This window comes from Homo sapiens, chromosome 10 (assembly GCF_000001405.40).
Source record: "Homo sapiens chromosome 10, GRCh38.p14 Primary Assembly".
NCBI classification, from domain to species: domain Eukaryota; kingdom Metazoa; phylum Chordata; class Mammalia; order Primates; family Hominidae; genus Homo; species Homo sapiens.
This window is the reverse complement of record NC_000010.11, coordinates 124,602,261-124,618,980: the sequence shown is the minus strand read 5'-3', so window position 1 is coordinate 124,618,980 and position 16,720 is coordinate 124,602,261. Positions and strand designations below refer to the sequence as shown.

General features: G+C 60.9%; 1 protein-coding gene across 4 annotated transcripts in view, besides 3 other annotated features; it reads right to left on the bottom strand.

The window, feature by feature from the left end:
• Positions 1-4,839: 4,839 nt before the first annotated feature.
• Positions 4,840-16,720, bottom strand: part of LHPP (phospholysine phosphohistidine inorganic pyrophosphate phosphatase) — a 152,319-nt gene continuing 140,438 nt past the window's right edge. For all 4 annotated transcript variants that reach the window (XM_005270026.4, NM_022126.4, NM_001167880.2 and 1 more), the window contains one exon: positions 4,840-5,717. In XM_005270026.4, the coding sequence (XP_005270083.1) occupies positions 5,709-5,717 (9 nt within the window). In that variant the 3' untranslated portion in view covers positions 4,840-5,708. The remainder of the gene's footprint in view (positions 5,718-16,720) is intronic.
• Positions 5,539-6,049: an enhancer, noted in NCBI's record as "H3K4me1 hESC enhancer chr10:126301501-126302011 (GRCh37/hg19 assembly coordinates)". NCBI's record gives its function as "activates a minimal SCP1, AML or CMV promoter by ChIP-STARR-seq in naive H9 embryonic stem cells {active_cell/tissue: H9 hESC(naive)}" and the evidence as "EXISTENCE:reporter gene assay evidence [ECO:0000049][PMID:30033119]".
• Positions 7,009-7,058: an enhancer, noted in NCBI's record as "active region_4168". NCBI's record gives its function as "activates an Ori minimal core promoter by ATAC-STARR-seq in GM12878 lymphoblastoid cells {active_cell/tissue: GM12878}" and the evidence as "EXISTENCE:reporter gene assay evidence [ECO:0000049][PMID:35858748]".
• Positions 12,140-13,084: an enhancer, noted in NCBI's record as "H3K4me1 hESC enhancer chr10:126294466-126295410 (GRCh37/hg19 assembly coordinates)". NCBI's record gives its function as "activates a minimal SCP1, AML or CMV promoter by ChIP-STARR-seq in naive H9 embryonic stem cells {active_cell/tissue: H9 hESC(naive)}" and the evidence as "EXISTENCE:reporter gene assay evidence [ECO:0000049][PMID:30033119]".

The window sequence follows — 16,720 nt, the reverse complement described above, 5'->3', positions numbered from 1 at the left end:
CCTTCCGAGCACAGCAGCTCAGCCTTCGACAGCGCTGGGAGGTGAGGCCACACAGCAGCGTGCGGAGATGGGCCCAGCCTGGCCTGCAGCCCTGAGGGGCCTGGGATGGCCCCCACCACCCACCCACCAGGGTAGCTGAGGTGGCACAGACAGGCTCACTGGCTCCGGGTTTCTGCCCCCGCTGCAGGCAGCACAGTGCAGACTTCTGCTGCGTGAGTGAGTTGCGGGGGCCCCAGAAGCACGAAGCCCAGCCCGGCGTGGCCCACTGTCTCCCGTGCATGGCCCTCTGCTTACCCGGACTCAGGAGAAGGGCGTGTTTGCGGCCTGGAGGACAGGCGTGGAGAGGTTTGCTTGATTTCCATAACTCAACACTTGCCCACACAATCTGCCCATGGAAGTCTGGCCTAGAATGCTTGTTAGGGCCAGAGCAGCCCCTCTGGGAATGAGGCTCTGTAGCCCCCGCTTTTCTTTTGGTTTTTGCTTTTAGCAAGATTTTTTTTTTTTAAGTCTATGAGCACTGAACTCAAGAAACAAACATGTGAAGTGGGGCTGCTGGGGGGAGGTGAGCCCCTTGTCCTCACTGCCATCCCTGCAGCCCTGCCTTACCCAAGGCCTAGGGACTCACTGATTCGAGGCTGGATGCATTGACTTCCCCAGCACACCCTCCCCTCACCCCTGCCTCCGTATCTGACAGATGACTGGTGGGCCAGGGGCTGGCGGGGGGCTTCTACCCAGCGCAGTGCCCCCACCCTTGTGCCCCACCTGAGGGTAGGGCACAGAGTGGCCCTGGAATTACCTCTGGCCCTTACCAGCCCCTTGCTGCCCCCAATCCCTAGATGAGGTCCCTGGCTGGATGGATAGCTCCGTTCTGCCCCCACGTGGGGCCTGGCCCCAGGCCTCACCCCCAGTGCAGTGCCCAGGCCAGGCACAGGTGCTTCTGACATGGGGCACACGTGTAGTCTCCTTACCTGCACAGCGATCATAACCCTGTGGGCTTACGAGAGAGACTCAGCCACTCTGTCCAGTGTGCAGGGAAAGGGCTGGAAGGAAGAAGGCCGAAAGGAAAGGCCCCAGAGAGCACAGTGCTCAGACTCCCGGGTGACTTCTGGTTTCTTTTTATATACTTCTGTTAAATTTCCTGTAATAACACATGCTGCTTTTATAATGTTAAAAAAACCACGTAGAATGTAGGCTGCCCCGTGTGTTCACCTCCTAAACCAGGACAGTTCTGAGGGGCAGCTGGAACTGTTGACACGCACTCTGGCACGGGAGGCGGACCCAAGAGCACCCACCCCAGAGGGGCACCACACTCGCCCGTCCCGCCCTGTGTCCCCACCTCTGCCCTGAGGTGAACACAGGAGGCTTTCCACCTGCCAGCTGCCAGCCAACCTCCCCGAGAGGGGCAGGAACCGACCAGCAGGACAGACCCACCCAGGACAGCGGCACCAGGTCAGGCCTCAGCCTTTCCGATCCTCTGGAGGGCTCAAGCCGAACGGAAGGAGGGAAGAACTGCAGTCACCTGGGCCGGTGGCGCTCACATCTGACGTGGAGGCCTCTGCTTCACTTGGCCCAGTTCCCAGCCTTGTCGGCAGTGAGGACATGGACCCTCGCTGGCATCCGTCCTCCGTCTGGCACAACGTGCCGTGTTCTCTCTGGTTAGGGTTTGGGTGGGACGGAGACTGCGCCCCTGTTCCTGGTCCGCCTAAGTCTCTGCCAGTCTGAGTCTCGTGGGCCTTTTCTGCAGGCCCTGGGGTTGCGGAGCAGGCAGGGGGACGTCGGTGGCTGGGGGACATCCCGCCACCTGCCAAGTAGCTGCAATGGGAAGAGATGCGGTTCCCGTGACAGCCAGGCCTGGATGTTCAAGTCATGTGAGACCACCAAATACCTTGTTGCACTAAGCCAATTTGAATTGAGTTTTCATAAGTGGTACATTGAGCCCAGGGCTTGGTACTGTGTGGGCCCTAGAGCTGGAAGGTGCAAGGGTGGGTGAGGCCCGAGAGGCCTGCTCTCCCTGTCCTCCCCTCCACCCCCCACCCTGCTACCCTTCACGGTTGCCTGGCCTGGCAGCTCCCGAGCCTGGGAGGTGTGGCTGGGCCTAGGCTGCTGCTCACTCCCAGCCTCGGTGGGAAAGACCCCTGGGAGCACCCCGGACCTGTGGTCCTGAGTCTTTTTTTCACGACAGTTCCGCGACATGTGTTGAACACAGGGCCTTAGCCCATTGGCAGCCCCGAACTCCAGCCCCGCATGCGGCCGGCGGTTCCACACCGTCTCTGCCAGGGCCCGGGCCCCCTCCACATGCTGGAAGTGGCCAGGCTGCCGGAAGGAGCCAGGGGTGAAGGAGGTCATTCCTCACTTCTAGGCAACACCGACCCCCAGGCAAGCATCACACCACGGCTCATCAGCTCCAGCCAGAGACAGGGCACCCCGCAGGGCCAGGAAGTGCCTGTAAAAGAAGTGAATCCCTCTGTTTTATAGACGGGGTAACAGGCTCGGGCTACACCACCCCACCACAGGTGTGGCTGGACCTCACCCCTCAGAAGAGCTCATCTCTAGAGTGAGGACACTGGTGCCCTGGCTCAGCCGGAAAGTCAGCCACAGGGGCCACCACATGCGTCCCCCACAGGAGGATTCCAGGCAAGGGTGGGAAGCAGCACGGCAACAGAAGGGGCTAGAAAGGGCCTGGGAGGCGGGGCTGGACCTTCCTGCAAGTCGCAGCTCCACCCCTCACTAACTGTTGGCCCTCAGCAAGCCGCGAGCTCACCGCACCCCAGACTCTAGACCCGTGCAGTGGGAAGGATGACAACACCCACTTCACTGAGCCCACCGCGGCTCAGAGGGTGGCATGCTCCCGCCCCAACAAAGCAGGGGGCTGCACCTCCAGGGGCTGTCCCTCTGGGCACCCCACTCCTGGGTAGCAACTTGAAAGAGGAGGTCTCGGCTGGGCGCAGTGGCTCACGCCTGTAATCTCAGCACTTTGGGAGGCCGAGGCAGGCGGATCACAAGGTCAGGAGATCGAGACCATCTTGGCTAGCACGGTGAAACCCTGTCTCTACTAAAAAATACAAAAAATTAGCTGGGCGTGGTGGCAGGTACCTGTAGTCCCAGCCACTCGGGAGGCTGAGGCAGGGAAATGGTGTGAACCCGGGAGGCGGAGTTTGCAGTGAGCCGAGATTGGCCACTGCACCCCAGCCTGGGCGACAGAGCGAGACTCCGTCTCAAAAAAAAAAAAAAAGAGGTCTCAGCTTGAACTCCTTCCCCCAGAGGGGTTGCTGTCTTGGCGGGAAGCTTCCCCATTAAACACAAAAGAAAGAAAAAACTAAAGACCTACAAACAAACCGGCATCACGCACAGCCTGGCATCACGCACAGCCCGGCATCACGCACAGCCCGGCATCACCCCCAGCCCGGCATCACGCACAGCCCGGCATCACACACAAACCCGGCATCACACACAGCCCCGGCATCACCCGCAGCCCGGCATCACCCGCAGCCCGGCATCACGCACAGCCCGGCATCACCCGCAGCCCGGCATCACCCACAAACCCGGCATCACGCACAGCCCGGCATCACCCACAAACCCGGCATCACGCACAGCCCGGCATCACCCGCAGCCCGGCATCACCCACAAACTCGGCATCACCCACAAACCCGGCATCACGCACAGCATGGCATCACCCACAGCCCGGCATCACGCACAGCCCGGCATCACGCACAGCCCCTCCAGGCTGCCACTGAACTGCAGCCGCCGCCTGAACGTCCTGTATTGTCTCCTAAGGAGCTGCCATCAGGGGACTCCATCAAGGAGCCAGCCATCTGCATATTTTCCAACTAAGGGGCCAAATGGCCCTCCCTCAAATCCAGTGACACTGGCCCGGCTGGTGGCCTCTCATCTTGCTGAAAAGACTGTCACCGTTTCCCCCAATCCTGATTTAATGGGCGGCCTTGCGGGGGCTGTACTTGCCCCTCCCCGGCGTGGGTCCCACACTTTCTTATCGTCCACCTTCATGTGGTGGAAATCCTGCTCCGGAGACCCATGGCTTCTCTCATAAGAAGCGCTCTCCAGGCCGGGCGCAGTGGCTCATGCCTGTAATACCAGCACTTTGGAAGGCCGAGGTGGGCGGATCACCTGAGGTTGGGAGTTCGAGACCAGCCTGACCAACATGGTGAAACCCTGTCTCTACTAAAAATACAAAAAATTAGCCAGGCGTGGTGGCGGGCACCTATAATCCCAGCTACTCGGGAGGCTGAGGCGGGAGAATAGCTTGAACCCAGGAGGCGGAGGTTGCAGTGAGCTGAGATCACGCCAGTGCCCTCCAGCCTGGGCAACGAAAGCAAAACTCCATTTCAAAAATAATAATAATAAAATAAAATAAAGAAGCAGTCTCTCAAGGGTTATCAGTAGCTTCTGAACTGATTTGGGGAGAAATGGAGCAATCAAGTTATCTGTTCAGCTGACTGATTCTGAAACCTGAAACTTCAGTTATGAGTGATTTGTTCCCAGGGCCCCTGTGGGAAGGCCGCCGCGCCCTTGGTCGGGAAAGCAAAGCTCACCACCCCCAGGCCACAGGCTGTTCCGTTAGGGAAGGCAGTGCCAAAGTTTGCCCTGGACTGCCTCGTTCCAGATAGGGCCAACAGCAGCTCACTGGCCCCTCTGGGCCTCAGTTTCCCCATCTGCTAAGTGAAGGGGCTGGAGCAGGTGAGGTGTTTCAGGGCCCTTGTCCCTCGCACCTCTGATATTCAGTGGCTCAAGCATAAGGCAGGACTAGAGACAGTGGCCCAGACCCTGCTGGTGGCCTCCCCCATACGGTTCTTCCTAGCAGTCAAAGCCTGAGTCAAAGGCTGCTGGTCAAGGCAGAGTTTACTGAACTGTTAGTTTCCTCCTGCACACACCGGGCATGACACCTTCAAGTCTGTCCAGCAGTGGGTCCAGAAAGTACCCTGTGTGCCTTGGACGCAGAGGCTACAGTTCTCACTGTGTGGCATGGGAGCCTTCACAGTGCCCTCGGGAGCTGCCCCTGGTCTTTGTCTGCAAAGGTGACTGGGAGGATAGAAAAAGCAGCGGGCTGGCATTGTTTCGGGGGTGGGGTGGTGGGCAGTGTGCCTGGGCAGTCGCAGGGAGGCTGACTTGGTTCTGGGCTGCAAGATCTGTGCATAGGAGGCCCCTGGGTTTCTTCCAGGCTCTTCACTGAAATGCAAAGAGTCTGAAGAGGAGGCAGTGGGCATAGTGCCCCTGAATCTGGTTAGGTGGAGTTTACTGCATTTAAAGGCCCATGGTGAGTGGTGAGTTCTGGGATTTGGGAGATTCCCAGAGGCCTGACAGGCCTGTCCCACCCTCCTGGACTTCACTACAGGGAGCTGAAGTCAGGGCCCAGGCAGGGGAGCAGGCCACCCAGGTAGGGAACAAATGCCTGCCCATGCAGGGCAGAGGGCAGAAGGCAGGGCTGTCAGGGCCTTGGTTGGTCTGGGCACTGGGGCAGGTGGAGGGGAGGCAGGGGTGGAGGAGAGGCAGGGGTGGAGGAGGTGGGGCTCTCCTGGGCGGGTGGAGGAGAGGCAGGGGTGGAGGGGAGGCAGGGGTGGAGGAGAGGCAGGGGTGGAGGAGGCGGGGCTCTCCCAGGAGGCCATCACTTGTCGGCGTGCTGCAGCAGCAGGTCCACTGCCTCTGCGAGGTTGTCCACGTACCCATCAGCCTTCACTTCCGGATGGTGCTCGTCACTGGGCCTGGAGAGGATGGCCGGAGGTTAGTCAGTGCCCCCACGCTGACCCCTCTGCAGCCACACCCACCCTCCCAGCATCTAACATGGGCCTGGCCTTAGCTTGAGGAAACCTCCAGGTCCTGCCAGGCAGCCTGGCCCGTGGCCACTGGCCATCCCCCTCCTCCCCCTGCCCTACTCAGGCACACATGGCCCCTCCTGACTGTGCCCTCAACCTGGACACCTCCCCAAACCTGTCTCCCACTGGGGAGCCTGCTCAGCCTTGTGGTGGAGTGACAGCCGGCCCAGCTCCCTCTGGGCCTCCAGCACAGACATCTCACCTTGGATGGTGGGGACATGAGTGTACCCTGCTCTGGGCTCCCCAGGGGCTCACCCCACACCCCTGGCCTGGCCTAGTGCCCCGTGGGAGGAGCCTAGTCCATGTGCACTGTGGGGACAGCTGGGGTAGAGACTCGGAGCTCCTGCCTGCCCTAACGCTGGGGGCCCGCATGTCAGTGACAGCATGTGTCTTCTGGTTGGTGCCCTCTGAGGCCACGCCCACCCAACAGAGGAGGCACCGGGCTCCTGGATAAACTGCCCTCTGGCTGGGATTCTGGGGGCAGCAACCTCTCCAAAGCCTTCAGCCATTCCCCAGGCATCTCCTGAGGTCTCACTGGATGCTGAGGACACAGGAATGAAGCCATGAGACAGTGCAGAGGCCTCCGGGCCCTGCCAGGGGACTTTGTGGAAGGGGCTGTGGGCTGAGTCCTGAAGGCAGGCAGGAGCTACGGGTAGACACGTGGGTGGGAGAGGAGAGCCCCAGGAGCAGGAAGGGGTCAGGTGGGTTCGTGGAGACATCCAGAGCCTTTTTTATTTTTTATTTTTTTGAGACCAAGTGTCACTCTGTTGCCCAGGCTGGAGTGCAATGGTGCGATCTTGGCTCACTGCAACCTCTGCCTCCCAGTTTCAAGCGATTCTCCTGCCTCGGCTCTTGAGTAGCTGGGACTACAGGCACCCGCCACCACGCCCGGCTTTTTTTGTATTTTTTAGTGTAGAGATAGGGTTTCGCCATGTTGGCCAGGCCGGTCTCCGACTCCTGACCTCAAGTGATTTGCCCGCCTTAGCCTCCCAAAGTGCTGGGATTACAGGAGTGAGCCACCGTGCCCGGCCCCCATCCCAGTCTTGACAGTCATTTGAGGAAGTGGCACCTCATCCTAGGGGCTGTGGGCAGCCTGGAGGGCTGTGAGCCAGAAGGCCCCTCCCCACAGCCTTGCACCCACAGAGGTGCCGCTGGAGCTTGGCAGGAAGTGGGGAGCGGCCCGTCTGCAAACCTACCACTACCGAGGGACATGTTGCTTGGATCTCCCCACGGCCTGGCCCAAGCTCCCTGAGAAGCAGGGAAACCACAGTCTCCCGGCAGCAGCGCCCCCACTTTGGAAGCTGCCACCCTGGTCTGAGAGGAAGTGCTTGAAGTTGGTTCTCACGTCATCTAAAAGCCGTGTTGGCCCTTTCAAAGGGTTTGGTTTCTGCAAAGGGCTTTCTTGACCCTAAAATGACTGTCATGGGCAGGGGGGCTTTTTCTTTTAAGGGTTCTCAGCCCAGTGGCCTGGAGGCTACCTCCTGGCCCTCAGGGACTGCTGAGGCTGTGGACCTGGACGGGGGCCACAGGGGCAGTCCCTGGGAGGGGAGGGCAGTGTGGGCTCCCCTGTGACTGTGAGGGTATACCTTTTGGCTCTTGTCCAGGTCCCAAGGACAGAACCCCTTGTCCCCTAAGCCCCTCCAGCGCCCCCACTTCCTTGCCCACCTGCTTGTATGGGGCTACGGCCGCTTCCCCTCCTGCACAGTCTCCGAGCACAGCACTCACGAGCCTCACATCCCTCTCCCTTCCATCCTCCAAGGAAGAAGTGGTCACCCCCATCTTGAACAGGTGAGGAAACAGCTCAGAAAGGTTCAGAGACTTGCTATAGGTCACACAGCAGGGAGAGCAGAGCTGGGATCTGACTGAGTTCTACTCCCAGCCCTGTGTTCTTTCGAGAGCTTCCACCACTGCTGGACATTGCTGCCCCTTCCAGCAAAGGGCAGTTGCCAGCACCCGCTCCAAGCAGGGGCACCTACAGATGCCAGTACCAGTGGGGATCGCTTGGCTGGCCGTCCCAAGCACGGCCACTCTGCTGCTCCTGAATGAGCACACACCAAAGTAGGAGCCTGGGGGACCAGGCAAGGGGATGAGTATGCGGCCCCCTCACCCGCACCCGCTCCATCAGCACCCTCACCCGCACCCGCTTCATTAACACCCTCACCCGCTCCACCAGCACCCTCACCCGCACCCTCACCCGCTCCATCAGCACCCTCACCCTCACCCTCGCCCGCTCCATCAGCACCCTCACCCTCACCCTCACCCGCTCCATCAGCACCCTCACCCTCACCCTCACCCGCTCCGTCAACACCCTCACCCTCACCCTCACCCTCACCCGCTCCATCAGCACCCTCACCCGCACCCTCACCCGCTCCATCAGCACCCTCACCCGCACCCTCACCCGCTCCATCAGCACCCTCACCCTCACCCTCGCCCGCTCCATCAGCACCCTCACCTGCACCCGCACCCGCACCCGCTCCACCAGCACCCTCACCCGCACCCTCACCCGCTCCATCAGCACCCTCACCCTCACCCTCGCCCGCTCCATCAGCACCCTCACCTGCACCCGCACCCGCACCCGCTCCACCAGCACCCTCACCCGCACCCTCACCCGCTCCATCAGCACCCTCACCCGCACCCTCACCCGCTCCGTCAACACCCTCACCCTCACCCGCTCCATCAGCACCCTCACCCTCACCCTCACCCTCACCCGCTGCATCAGCACCCTCACCCTCACCCTCACCCGCTCCACCAGCACCCTCACCCGCACCCTCACCCGCTCCACCAGCACCCTCACCCGCACCCTCACCCGCTCCATCAGCACCCTCACCCGCACCCACACCCGCACCCGCTCCATTAGCAACCCCAGCAAGAACAACCCGTGTCAGTGTCAGGGCTTTAGAGGCCTCTTGTCTTGTGTGTGTCATTCTGTGATGCCACACAGGGTGTCTACGATCTAGGAGAGGGGCATTGAAGACATGCGTGATCCTGCGTCAGTGCTGAAATAGGGACTTGGCACCACGCAATCCTGCGTCAGTGCTGGAATATGGACTCGGCATCACCACGAGGCCTTCTATGGTACGGGCCACATTGGAAAACTGCGTGTTGATATCCACTTGCAACCCTGCAGTCCCACTCCTAAGTATGTACACAGCAGAAATGCATCCTCACGTTCACCAAAGGCACGTTCACCAAAGGCACACTGCTCCACACAGCTTTAGTTGCAATAGCAAAAGTCAAACACTGGACAAATGCCCGCCAGGGGGAGGATGGGAAAACAGACCACGGCAGAATTGCACACTGGAATACTCCACAACGGCTCAATCTGGGGTGAGTTCCTGCCGCGGCAATGGGGGTGAGCCCCAGACCTGAAGAGCAACTGAGGCCAGACTCGAGGAATACACACAGCAGGACTGACTTACAGAGAGCTCCAGAGCTGGCAAAGGCAGACTAGTGACAGAGGGTGGGACGGCAGCTTCCTAACGGAAAGGTGAATAGGGGTGCCAGGAATGTTCTAGATCTTGACCTGGGTGGGGCTAACATCCTATTCTTCACTTTTAGAGCACTTTACTAATGTTATACCTCAAAAATTTAATTAAAAAGCCACATATGGGCCGGGCGTGGTAGCTCACGCCTGTCATCCTAGCACTTTGGGAGGCTAAGGCAGGAGGATTGCTTGAGCCCAGGAGGTCAAGACCAGCCTGGGCAACATGGTGAAACCCTATCTCTACAAAAAAGTACAAAAATCAGCCAGGTGTAGTGGCAGGCGCCTGTAGTCCCAGCTACTTGGGAGGCTGAGGTGGGAGGATCACCTGAGCCTGGGAGGTTGAGGCTGTGGTGAGCCGTGATCACACCACTGCATTCCAACCTGGGTGACAGATGAGAGTCTCAAAAAGAAAGAGAAGCCACATATAATGCTCACAGTTGCTATTGTGTAGGCCAGAGGGCCAAATCCTACCTGCGGCCTGTCTTTATATTTTTAAAGGGGTGTAAAAAGAAGAGAGTAATATGCAAGAGAGACCAAATGGAAGCTGGCAGAGCCTGAAGTGGTAACGATTCGGCCCCTACAGGAAAGGCCTGGACCCCTGGGCTGGCCTGTCCACCGTCCCCCAGGGCTCTGGACAGGCCCCTTCTCAAGCTCTTACTCTTGGGAAGCCAGTGCTTCCACTCAAGTGCACCGCTGCTGCAGAGATGCGGCTGCTCTGGGCTGGGCAGGGTTGGCCCTGTCTTCCTGGGGCTGCCAGCCACACCTGGCTCCAGGCTGTGCAGACACACCCTGCCCTGGTACAGAATGAAAGGTGGGCAGGGGTCCAAGGTCCCCTTGAGGCTGCTGATGCTCTCCGGCTTACTCAGATCCCTCTTGGAGGACAGATGACAGGCTTCTCTCAGCAGCTCTACCTCTGAGACTGCTGGCCCTGGCCGAGGACACGGCAAGCTGGGTAGGCAGGTGGGTGGGGTGGGGGTCCCTCTGAGCGAGACAGAGACAAAACCAGAACGGCTGGCTAGCTCAGTAAATCAGCCCCCTGGCAAAACACCTCTCTGCCTCAGTTTCCTCATCTGTGCCATGAGGATAAAGCTGGCTCCGCCCCCTACCAGCCACGTGACCTCAGGCAACTTCCCTAAGCCCCTGTGCCTTGGTGTCCCTGCCTCTAGACCGAGGTCATAATAGCATGCACCATGGGCTCCCATGAGGAGGGCAGGAGCCAATATTCGTGGCAAGGACAGGTTGGTTGGCGCGGGTGTGGGCGCTGTTGTGGCTAAAATGGAAAACTCAGCAATCCTGTCCAGGGAATGCACCGTGGGCTGGGGCTGGGCTGGCCAGGGAGGTAGAGCATGACCGGCCTTGAGCCTTCCCCTGGGCACACAGGCTGGTGGGGGGCAGACAGGCAGACGGACGGACACACTGATGTGTGGGCTACATGGGGCACAGGGAGGACAGGGTGAGTGGGGAGGAAGCCCGGCACAGGCACTGGATCAGGAGGGTCAGAAAGGCTCCAAGCAGGACCCTAGGGGGCATACCAACAGCCTGGAGTCCCAGCAGACCTGGCACTAGGGAGGGTGCCTGCGGGAAGGACCAGTAGGCTCACTCCTACGCCGAGGCTCTGCCCCCTCCTGCCCTCTGCCCCTGCAACGCTTCTATTCCCTGGTCTCACCTCTGCCTGGCCTGTGTGCATGGGCCTGCATCAGCCCTGCCAGGCTGCCCTCAGCTCCCACTAGGGTCTGGGGAGATGAGCTCCAAAGCACTGCTCGCAGCCGCCACGTGTGCACCCAGCCCACGCTTACAAGGAGTCGGGGGCTGAGGCCGCGGCCCGGGTCTGACGTCCTCTCTGGTACCGCAGCCAGTTCCCATCTGATTTCCAACTTTTCTCCCCACAACAGTGAGAGGTTTGGGTTCCTTGTTGCCCGAAGCGGAACAAAAATTCTTCCAGCAAACACCGCCCATGATTCATCATCCGAGCCCCCGGGGGACTGGCCCCCAGGACCCCCTCCTTGGACACCTTCCCCAGGTGCCCTGGGGCCAGGCTTATTGTCCAGGCAAAAGCAACCAGCCCCGAGAGGGAACAAGAGGTCTCCCCATAGAAGATGACGCTTTGTAATGAGAATCCGGCCAGCCCCACTCCGCACGTGTACCTAGCCGAATGGCGTCCGTGGCTAATTATGTTTAATTACATATCATTTAAATTCAAGAATCCACTAAAAGAAAGGATTGCATTAGCACCCGGCCGGTGTTTGCCCACACGCAGCGGAAATCGTGGACTTTTATGTCTTAATTACGTGACGCTGCTGTGGGCTGTGTCTCCCAGGGAGCTGGGGTAGGCAGGAGGGGACCTGTTCCTGGCCTGGTGGCCCCAAAGCCCCTGAAGCAGCTCTGCTTTGTCCAATGGCCTGGGCAGGAGGAGTCCCTGCCCCACACTGGCCAGTGCCCTGTGACCTGTGGACCTCAGAGATGTCACGGTACAAAAGCTGAACCAAGAAACCCAGCAAAGGTGTGTCCTCGGCAGTGGGTACAGAGCGGAGAGGGTGAAGCAGGAGGGGCCGCAGACCATCCTGCCCGGAGTGGCCCTACTGGGACAGAGCTGGAGGAGGAGGAAGAGACAGACAGAGAGACACGGCCACACACGGAGGGAGGGAGGGCAGGGACAGGAAGAACCATGAGACAGGCAGAAACGGAAAAAGAGGATGAAGCAGAGAAAAGAGGGCAGAGAGAGGGCAGGCGAGTAGAGACAGACACATGGAGGGAGGGGACAGGCATGGGACACAGGAACAGGGGCAGGGGCCTGTAACAGGCAGGGAAGGGCTGGGGCTGCCCCCACGGTTCTGTGTCCTGGCCATGTGGGCCTGCGTTAAGCCCCTCCGCCCTTCCCTGGCTACGGGCCTGGCTGACGGCTCCCCGTGGGGGTCACAGCGCTGCTCCTCCCCCTGCCCCAGGCCCAGCCCAGGCCCCCAGACAGCTGAGCACCCTGCTCTGTCCCCAAAAAAGTGCATGGCCCAGGGCCGGTCTCTTCACCTGCCCGAGCCTCAGTTTCCTCATCTGTAAGGTAGCATAGGGCTTGGCTCTGGGGGCCACTCTGAAACGAAACAAAAGAGGCAAGACTGCACACGAAGTTGGCGTTTCCCCTGCACCTGGGGACCCTGCAGCTCACCCTGGCGCTGGCCCTGCCCCCTCCCACCTCCACCATCTGCCCTCCAGGGTTCACAGTCCAGTTCCACACTCACAGTTGTCAGCACTGCTGGGAAAGAAAGAAAAGGGCCTGGAGTCTGAGGGCACTGATGGGAGAGGGAGTGGGGCAGGACTGAGCGGGGCAGGGACGCTTCCGGAAACAGGGACGTTAAGGCTGAGCACTGCTCCCGTCCATCGTCCTTGCTGCTGTCCCCCCGAGAATGGTGTGGAGACACCAGGCCTTTGCTGGGTGGCTTCTTCACTAAGCCAGAGTGCCTGGCCCTCGGGGCCTGGCTGGGAGGTGGGAGCAGTGAGTGATTTCCCCAGGCGCCTGCGGGGCGGCTGCGGGTTCTCCTCTCCTCTCCTGGGGGCAGCCTCCCTCGGGCTGCATTTGGGCGTCTCTGGCTGAGGACCTGCTTCTGATGTGGGGTGGGCCCTCCAGGTACCTCCCCCATCCTTGCGCAGGAGCCTGCAGGGTGGGTCCTGCTGCCCGGGTTTCGGAGGTAGAAGCGGAGGCACACAGCTGGGAGGCATGTGGCTGCAGGACCAGGAGGCTGGCCTTAACCACCGGAACCCACAGGGTGACCCGGGCCCCTTGAAGGCAGGAGGTCTTCTGCTGAAGCCTGTTCCCTTCCCCTTCCCCCTCCCCCTCCACTGGCTCTCCCTCCTGCCTGGCCCCCTCTCCTCTTTTGCAGCCAGAGTGGCTTCCCTAAATGCTCAGCTGCTCCCGCCTCCCCTGTGTAAACTGCTGTGGCTCCCTATTGCCCACATCATAGCCTGGCTCCTCAGCATGGCAGATGAGTCCATCCTGACTGGGCCCCACCTGCGGACCTCCCTCGCCTCGCCAGCCACTCAGTGTCTGGGCTGCTGCTCTTCAGACATCCCAGCTCTCCCTGCCATTGCCCATGCTGTGCCCTGGAATGCTCTTGAAACCTGCTCCACCTGCAAACTCCTGTTCACGTTTCAAGACCCCACTCACCTGTCCCCATCTCCCACTGTATGCTCCTTCCACAGGGCGAGTTGCTCTCTCTTCTGAGCATGCAGAATGTGCCCTCCAACCACCCCATGCCATCAAAGCTGGGGGCTGCTCTGCCACTTCATCTGCAGGTGCCAGTGTTGACTTCGCTTCCTGGAGGGACAGGCCAGGTTTCCTGCCCTCGGTGGTCCCCCCCACAGGCCTGACCCAGAGCAGGCACCCAGGAAGTGCCCACCAAATGAATAAACAAAGGCCCCCAGCTGGGCAGGCCAGTGCCTGTCATCAGTGATTCCTCCCCCTCATGCTCTGTCAGCCGAATGCAGGGAACGGGTGAGTGAGAGGCAGAAAACAAGGCGGTTCTGTGCCTGGGGCCTGGCCAGCTTCACAGGGACAGTCTTTGTACCAATCGAAGGAAAATGGTGGCCAGGCCCCAGCAAAAGAGCCCCATGAGGCCAGTCTCCCTGCCGCCTCCTCCAGGGCACACGCAGGCCAGCACCGCCTCCTGGGGAACACTGACCAAGGGAGACGGGTGCGGCCTCTCCCCGAGGGGCTCTTGAGGGACCTGAGCTGCCCGGGACTCCCAGTCGGTGGCCCACCCGCCTCCTCTCTACCCTGCAGGGGCAGGGGAAGGGGCAGGGTGGGGCAGAGACTCTCACAACTGGAGGCCGCAACAGCTGCCTACCCAGGGAGGGGCAGGTATCCCTGTCCCCATTTGCTTTGGAAAGGCAGTGGCTGGGAGCCAGGTGCAGGGGGCGGCTGCCCAGTGAATTCAGGGATCTGGGCACTGGCATCAGAGGGTGACGCCAGCTCGGCTGTGCCGACAGACTTGCAGGACAAGGACAGAGGGTGATTCATGAGGTGGAGGTAGTGAGGCCGGGCAAGGGGCATCCTTCCATCAGAACCCCAGGAGCCCAAGACCCCCGGGGGCCTGGGGGGTTATTTCTAGAAGGGTGTTCACCAGAGCCTGACCCTGGCAAGTGCCTGGAGGATGCAGCTGGGAGGTCTGCCTCCACCTGCACACCCGCAGCTTCTCTGAAGGCTGCTTATCAGATGGTCTGCACCGGTACATCACACACACTAGGCCTGTGCCCATGGGGTTCCCTGCTGTCCACGTGCTGGCCCAGCACGGCCACCCTCAGGACAGCAGCTTGCTGGGGCCCAGTGAGGTGGGCAGAAGGCCCAGAACATCCCACATCCAGCCCGTGACCTGGCCTGAGCTGGGTCCCTGGCAGGTGCCCGAGGGTCGGTGGCCTCCTTACGGGGTAGCTGGGTGGCGGAGTGGAGATGGCCACAGATCTCAGGCAGGCTGCTCCGACCTCCGTCCCCTGGGTTCTGGAAGCAGGTCGGGGAATGACATGCCCAGACCCATGTACCTCTGGGAAGGTGCCATGTCGTGCTGCTTACAAAGAAACCCGAGCAGGAGCTCCTTCCCATGGAGCCTGTGCATCCAGCCAAGGCCTCCCAAGCCCCTCTTCTCCCAGGACCTGGGGGTCAAGAGGCACACAAAGGACTCTGACCTGGTCCCTGCCTGCAAAGAGCTCACATGGCACCTGAGCCCAGCACTCCAGCCCCAGGCCCGGGCCTTAGCAGCTGCCTGGGGGACACAGGCTCCAGCCTCAGCTACCTGTTCTCACTCAGGGATTGCTCAGCCCTCAGGCCCGTGTCCTCCCAGGCCAGCTCTGCCCACAGGCCTGGGGACTGCTGAGTCAACCTGGAGCCCCGGAGCCCAGCGTGGGGACCCTCCAGCCCAGGGCACCTCCTGCCATTGAAGCCAGCTGGGTCCTGGCACGAAGGGTGGCCTGGAGGGACCGGAGGGTCCAGGGCCACATCAGTGCCGAGGCGAGGGCCGCGAGGAGGCTCCCAGCTTGGAGACCCGCCCTCCCCTTGCCCAACCTGCTCACACATACAGGACCTTCTCGGGCGGCTTTGAAGTCACTTGGCAGAAAAAAAAAATCCAAACAAAAACCCAGGACTGAAGGAGTCCTCATCCTGGGCCTCTCTGGGTCCCTCACCTCTCTGGCCTGGGGACCAGAGCAGGGATGGGGACACACTTCCCCTGGCTGGGACCTCCCTTGGAGGTGCCAAGCTCCCTTTCCCACTGGCCCAGCTGAGAGCAGGAGCAGTGGCCCTGTCAGGTGCTTGTCCCCCATCCGTTTGGCCATCTGCTCCTCTGTAACAAGGAGGGGTGGGGAGGGAGGAGGTGACCCCTCCCCCTGAGCCCCTACACATGGAATGTGTGTGTGGATGAGAAAGCTGTGCACCCGGGCTGGGCCTGCCCAGCCCAAACCACCCGTGCCCGCCTTCCTCCCACGTGGGGTGAGCCAGACACCCACAGAGGCTGGGCATGAGCGCACTGCAGGTGTCCAGCTAGGCTGCCGCCCGCAGGCAGCACTACATACAAAGAGCCAGGGCAATGGTGAGGGGCCTGGATTCCCCAACTCTGTCCTGCCCTGGCCTGGCCCAGCCCCAGTACCCCTCCCAGGGACTGCAGCTGGCCACACCCCACCCTGCCCTGTCCCTCCCACCTGTCCAGGAGGCCTGACAAGGGTGTCTCAGAGCTAAGAGTGAGGTGGGGTCCTGTGCCCCCCAACCAAAAGAGACATCTTCCCTGTGTGCACATGTGTGGGCGGTTGCAACCCAGAAATAGGAGAGGGGCGCACTGCGTCTCCTGCCCCTCGGCCTTGGATCCTTACAGTCTCCTGGTGGTCTGGCCCCCATCTGGATCTGGATGTGTGAAGAGCTGGGGTGGGGCAGGGCTGGGCTAACTGAACCCCAATTTTCTTCCATTGGGGGGCAGGGCTGGGCTAACTGAACCCCCTTTCCTTCCAGTGGGTGGTGCCCAGGGCCCAGAGCCTGCCCCGGCTGACCTGTCCTCTGGCTAGTAAGGACAAAAGTCTCTCCTCGCAGAAGGAGGCACTCACTGAGCCAGTCCCCCAGGGCTCTGAGCCCTAGTGGGTAAACCGAGGCACAGGAAGGGATCTGCCCAAGGTCTCACACACCCCCAGGAGCCACAGACTCACTGGAAATAGGCCTGCCTGCTGCCCACAACCCAGAGCTCTCCACCAGCCAGTGGGCAGGCCCCGGGATGCAGGTGAGGCTCCTCTAGCTAGCAGACTTGTGGCCTCCAGGACATCAGCGATACCACAATGGGCCCACACCTCTGCAGTAAGCCAGCTGTGGGTGGCGTCTCTATGTGCTCTGCACAGCGCGCCATGGGGTGCGCACCATGATCTGCTTCTCTGAGATGAGGAGAGAGAC